This window comes from Homo sapiens, chromosome 17 (assembly GCF_000001405.40).
Source record: "Homo sapiens chromosome 17, GRCh38.p14 Primary Assembly".
Taxonomy (NCBI): Eukaryota; Metazoa; Chordata; class Mammalia; order Primates; family Hominidae; genus Homo; species Homo sapiens.
This window is the reverse complement of record NC_000017.11, coordinates 71,895,325-71,902,119: the sequence shown is the minus strand read 5'-3', so window position 1 is coordinate 71,902,119 and position 6,795 is coordinate 71,895,325. Positions and strand designations below refer to the sequence as shown.

The window sequence follows — 6,795 nt, the reverse complement described above, 5'->3', positions numbered from 1 at the left end:
GAAAGTAAGAAGGGAGATTTAAAATGTTGTCTAACAATTTTTTTTAAAAAAACGATGCTACAAAGCTAAACTTTGTAAAATTGTTGATATTTACTGTTGGCCTAAAAACTCAGCAATTTCACATGGCTAAACTCATTACACAAGCAGACATTAGGCTGGATTTCTTACTTTTCAAACAACTGAACATCTCATGGCATCAACCTTATTTACTCACTTTTGATAAATAAGTACTGACTGACCTTTCCCCGTGCTCTATGCCGTGACTCACAAGTGAAGTTAGGTTCAGTAGTTTTTTGTGAAAATATCTTTTAAAAATTCGCTAAGTCCGCATGATGCATTTTTCTTAATACAATTATTTTCCATCTTTAACTTGCACTTGACTTTCATTGGGGAGCCATTAATTTATTTTCAAGTACAGATAAAACTGCCAAAAATACAATATTAGTATCATTGCCCATGGGAAGAAATGTTAGTGTACTTTTTTTCTACATTATAGACTAGGAATAGGGAGGGAGGGAGGTAGATATGTAGGTAGGTAGGTAGGTAGATGATAGATAGATAGATAGATAGATAGATAGATAGATAGATAGGGAGGGATGTAGGGGTTGTTACATCTTTAACTTCCACTCCAAACCTTGTTATCCTAATATTTAATTCTACCTTTATTTCTTATAATCTTTTTAAATCCTTTGTCATAAAGAAAAATTGCTTATACTAGTCTGGAGCCAATTTTTTAAGTCAGGTGAGCAAGAAAATGGGATGCATGGTTTCTAGATGTTTACACACAGCTAGATACACTAAACTAATAGATTGTTGCTTAAGGACATTTCACTTTTTGTGTTTATACATGTGTGAGAGATACTTCAGTGAAAGGCTGGAAACTTCCATCCCAAATCAGCTGTCTCTGGCTCTTGATTTCTCTGGTTCCAGGCCTTTCAGGATCTCTTTGTCTTTGCCACTGTTTCTCTGGCTTCTCCTACTCCTCAAAATTCATGATCGGAAAACCTCCAAAAGGTTAGAGACTCATAGATGGGCGGTTGGTGTGTGAGCATCTCTGAGTCAGAGTGGCAGGAAGCGTGACCAAACAATTCATTACCTTGGCATCTCAGGGGTCACCTGGGTTACCTGACAGCCCCTAATTAGTGGGTGTGAAACATCTTTTCTCCCCCAGGCTACTGAGCTAAAGTGAAGACTTCATTCTTGCTAGAGATTGATAGAGAAAAGTGGGTCCCTGGGCACAGCCTGTCTTGCAGACAGCAGAAAGCTACTTTGGAACGTCCCTCTGGAGGTCGTGCAAATGTTTTTATATCTGGAAACAGTCAGTGTTTTTTATGGAAACAGAGCCAGAGCTGTGATTAAAATAGCCATGGAGCTACTTTCTGTTTCAACCAACTCAACAATCTTAAAACCAAACAATTTTTAAAAAATAATTTTATTTTAAATTTGAATAAGATACAAATCTAGTTTCTTTAGGAATGAATTTTTCTCCCGTTGGGCATTTTAGATCTTTATTAAAAAGAAAGCATAGACATTCTCAAGAAAGCCTATCCTTATATTTTGAACAAATAATTGATTATTTAAAAACTCTTTCAGCGAGCATTTATTGAGTTCTTACTGGGGGCAAAGTGCCAGGTCAGGCCTTGGTCAAGTTCCTCCCTGCAGCAGATGGTATGGTGAGTGGGTTTTCTTTTGGCGTTGTTTGTTGGGTTTAAATCTGTACAGCTCTATCTCATGTTCAACGATAATGTGCTCCTGAAAAATTGTATGTAAATCGCATTTTTAAAAATGGAGTCCATTTAGAGTAATAGTAATCAGTTTGCATTTATGTGACTTTTCAGTTATTGAGTTAATGAACTATATACTGAATGGTTAAAAGTTCCTTTGGAGTTTCTCAGCTTTGGTACTGCCAATATTTTGGGTTGACAAATGTTTTTATCTTAGGGGCTGTCTTGTGTACTGTAAGATCGCTAGCAGCGTTCCTGGCCTCTACCAAAAATGTCTCCCGACATTGTTGAATGTCTCCTGGAGGGCAAAATCATCCCTAGACAAGAATCATGACTATAGAATAAAGTGTATGAATTTTAAAAGAGAGATTTAGGTTAGAGAAATATTCTTTTAGTGTCTTAATTAGTAAAATAACTCTCAATTGCCAAAATTTTCTTTCACTGTAATTAAATAAGTATATATTCATATTTCCTCAGTAACTAAGTTCAATGATAGCAAAATCAGTTTTTATTATGATTAGACAGCATCACCCTTCAATTTCAAAAACATTCAGTAGTTATTAGAACAAATTACAGCCATGTGTCTAGAATAATTGATCGTCTAATAAAAACAAAAACTCCCTCCATATGTCATCAATTTTATCACTCAAATAGTCACAGCCCAACTGTAAGAAATAATGAGATTTTTAGTTCCCTACCATGCAACTTTCTGAGTGGCTTGGAAAGTAGACTTACACTGGAATGAGAGTTGGTAGCAAGGGCCCTGTGCATAGTCTTATTCCTTCTCCTGTCTTCCCGCATTTGACCTTTCATAACCAGAACTTCCTGATCCCTAACTCCTAAGAAAATAACATTTCTTCTTAAGATTAAATGGTGATTCATTTGATGAATCAGAAAACTCATCAAAACATACTGTTATGACTATGAAGAACCTAGGAACTACCTAGTCATTTGGGTAGTTTACCAAGACTCAGAAATTGCTTGCATTTCAAATTGCCTTTAATTATTGGAGAACTACCGCAAATTTTTCTCCTAAACGAATACTCCATTATTACGAGACACCTGGTAATGCAAGTTTTAATATGTTTACTATAGGCAATGAAGAAAGTGAACTCTATAATACCCAGCTTGATGGAGCTAATGGCAGAAGACCAGTTAATAAAACTAACACATTCCAATTGTTTGATATAAGAGGTTGTTGGGAGTGTGACTTTTTTTTAAAAAGCCATTTAATTACATACCCTGATGTCTTCACTCAGCCATTCCCTAAAATATATTTTCCCAATTTCAGCATATACCCCTTCTCTACTCTCAATTAGCTATTGCATTGGGCCTTTGCTTCCAAGCCCCATAAGTAATAGTAACTTAATTTTCCAAGTCATAAATCAGGTAAACTTATGCTGCATAGCACGTGTTCCATTTGTTTTTAATCAGGGGCAGCCTGGTACTCAGAGGTCGGAAGCTTTAATTCAATGGGGTCCTGTGTCTTTTTGGAGGGAGAAATCTTTTGGCTTCTTAGAATTCCCTTTGTGAATGTTTTAAGTATCCTTTTGGCAAAAGTTTGAATATATAAAGTATCTCATATGGAATCCTTTAATTCACTCACCTATACACACTCCCTTTTACTTCAGCTCTAAGATTAAAAGAAACATTTAACGACATTTTTATACTCCTGTATTCTCCTGATTTTATCTATTGTACTTAAGAAAAATCATACATTTAGCTGCTGGCGAAAGAGACACAAGAGAAGAGAGTTAAGAGATGTTTGATTTCTAGAAATCATTTCAAAGAAATAGCTCTAACAAACAGCAACATCACTGATATTGTTTAGGTTCCATATTGTCTTGAGAAAAAAGAAATGACCACATAAAAACCTTTAGAGTTTCTAAAAACTCAGAGTCCCTAGCACAACATTTTATGACTGAAAATCATCTTGGAGGTACTTCCTATAACCCTCTCATTTCACCCACAAAGACAGTGATACCTAGAGCGGTTACAAATCCAGATAGTTGTCACAGCCTATTAGTGCCAAGCTAAAATCAGAGCTCCATTCTGCTGTTATTCTATGCCCTTTTATATTGTACCTATTAGTAAATAATAGCTAGTAAGTATGTATTTAGTTATTCATACACTCATCTAATATAAAACATCCAAATATTTGAAAGTTTCTTAATTATTTACCAATCTTTACTATTTCATCTAGACATATTGCAGTAAAATTTTAGAACAGAAAGAATCAAGAGAAAAATCCCAAAAGCTATCAGATAAGAAAAAAATAAAGATTACCTATAATAGAAGAGAAATCATATTGACATATGAGTTCTCATCAATGTTAGACAGAAGAATACAGTAAGCACTTTAAATGCTGGAAGAAATTTAAATTTTAAAATGCTACAGGAAAATTTATTTTAGCCCATAATTCTCTACCTAGTGATATTATTCGAGCATGAGCTTGAAAGGAAGATAGCTTTCTACATATGAGTAATAAGACAAACTCCTGCAAACACTCTGAAGGTATTATAAGAAGTTATATAACAACAAGAAAGATGAATCCAAGAGAAACTAATGAGATAGAAGAACTAAAGGTTAGCAATGAAACTAGGAAAATTTGATGTTAAGTTTAATAAGCATTCATTGAAAAAAATCTGGAACTACACTTTTAGAAGCTATCTATTAGAATTTATTGAAGCATAAAATGGGAGTATGAAAGAGTAGAAAGATTGAAGTAGCTACATTTGTAAACCAATTTGTAGGGTAAATTTGTAGAAGTTATTAACATTTAAAATGGACATTTCCTATGAACTAGCAGCTCTTTTTCTCAGGTGTTGCCATTAAGAAAAACATGCATATGGCCAGGCGCATTGGCTCACACCTGTAATCCCAGCACTTTGGGAGGCCGAGGCGGGCGCATCACGAGGTGAAGAGATCGAGACCGGACTGGCCAACATGGTGAAACCCCGTGTCTACTAAAAAAATACAAAAATTAGCTGGGCGTGGTGGCACACGCCTGTAGTCCCAGCTACTCAAGAGGCTGAGGCAGAAGAATCGTTTGAACACAGGAGGTGGAGGTTGCAGTGAGCCAAGGTCGCACCACTGCACTCCAGTCTGGTGACAGAGCGAGACTCTGTCTAGGAAAAAAAAAAAAAGAAAAAGGAAAAGAAAAGAAAAACATGCATATGTGCACAAGGATGTAGAAAGCCCAAGGATTTCATAGCAGCAATTGCTCCTAATAGGAAAAAAAAAAATTTTTTTAAGCTGTCTTTCAGCCAAGGAGGATAGCTAAAAAATGGGGTATATCTTATCATTGAATCCCTAGTAGTGATTAGAAAATCAAAAAGGAAAACCAAAACAACACAGAAAGACCTGACTCTGAAAGACCTTTGGGGCACTTTTTTTTTTTTTAAACTGAAACATTCAAGTTGCATGCATGTGCCCACAGAATATATAAAGTAATGAATTTGATGTGTATCTGTACATTTGTTTTTACATGAACTGTACTATTTTACATATGTATGTAAATGCACAGAATTACATATGGATTAACCACTCTTTAACACTTTCCAAACCAAGTGTGTTTTTCTTTAGGGCCACTGAATGAGGCATTTGTTTATGAATTCGTTCATTTTCCTCTGATATGTATCATATTTATTGAATATCTTTTATATGCCTTGTCTTACACTGGGACCTAAAAATGCGGTTTATGCTCACCTTGAGCTTACTTTATATTACAGGAGCCAAACTAATAGCTAAGATAACAAGAGTTTACAATAGGATACATATAGGCAAACATCAAGGAAAAGAGGAGAGGAAGAAGTATCTCTATTTGAAGGCTTACGGAAGACTTTACAGAGCAAATGGTCAAACAGGTTGGCCTTTGAAGAAGTAACACTTTGTCAATACCAGAAATGGAAGAACGTCCGGAAGGAGAGTCATATAGACCGTGTAATGGAATAGTGACATGGATGTCCATAGCCTCGGTGGGAACATGTGAATATTCTAATGTCTGTGAAAAGCGTGTGTTTAAAATTTCATCTTTCATACTACAGAGCAGGGCTCCCCGACCTTTTTGGCACCAAGAACTGGTTTCGTGGATGATAATTTTTCCACCACTAGGCATTAGATCTCATAAGGAGCGCACAACTTAGATCCTTCCCATGCATGGTTCACAATAGGGTTCGTGCTCCTATGAGAATCTAATGCCGATGGCCACTGATCTAACAGGAGGAGGAGGAGCTTAGGCAGTAATGCTCACTTGCCTGCCGTCACCTCCTGCTGTGCGGCCCCGGGGGATTGGGGACCCCTGGTATAGAGAATAGGGAACCACTAAAGACAAAAGATATGAATATAATTAGATGTTTGTTTGCAGAATGATAACTTGATAATATGGAAGACAGGGATATTAGAGGAAACTAGAACATGGCAAAGATTTCTTAAGAATCCAGGTGAAAGTGTCATGAAATTGGAGAAGAAATTGATGCAATTCATACTTCAGAAGGATGAACTTGAAAGAAAAAATGTTCCCCGGTAATTTGGGGACAGTTTTCAAGTGATTTATCAATTTTGTTTTTTGTGTCTACTCTCTCATTTTCCCTATTGTCCGAGTTTTTTTGGAGGCTGTGGTATCCAGTAGATTAAAGAAATTTTACTGTGAGAATAATGAGTGGCCCAAAAGCCTGAGAGATACAGTTGTAGATTTTGGTGGGAGGGAAGGATCACCAGGAGCAAATGCCAGCTTGAGTAAGATGCTTTCCAGGTTTCCTGGGGAGCCCAGTGATCTCTAACCCCAGCTGTAACAGCATCCAGGGAAAAACCTCCCCTCCTCCACACACAGATGCCGTAGACACAGGATGGGGACTCCTGTAACTGGTTATATTTGGCCTCCAAGGTCTCACTGCAAGTTGGCAGAGGCTGTGTCACACACATAGAAAGATGTGTCTGTGGCATGATCCTCTCCAAAGCCCTCATCTCAATGCGGGTGGTGGTGGCTCAGGGTGGAGGGCTTATGCGGGAGCTCTGGAGTCACCAGGAGGAAGCTTTTAAGGGATCTGAGGTTTAGTTTGTGTTAACACCC

The 6,795-nt window shown here is 37.0% G+C and overlaps 1 annotated feature.

Annotated features, from left to right (window-relative positions):
- Positions 589 to 1,788: an enhancer, noted in NCBI's record as "P300/CBP strongly-dependent group 1 enhancer chr17:69896473-69897672 (GRCh37/hg19 assembly coordinates)". NCBI's record gives its function as "activates an origin of replication core promoter dependent on BRD2, BRD4, P300/CBP, MED14 and CDK7 cofactors, with strong dependence on P300/CBP, by STARR-seq in HCT116 cells {active_cell/tissue: HCT116}" and the evidence as "EXISTENCE:reporter gene assay evidence [ECO:0000049][PMID:35650434]".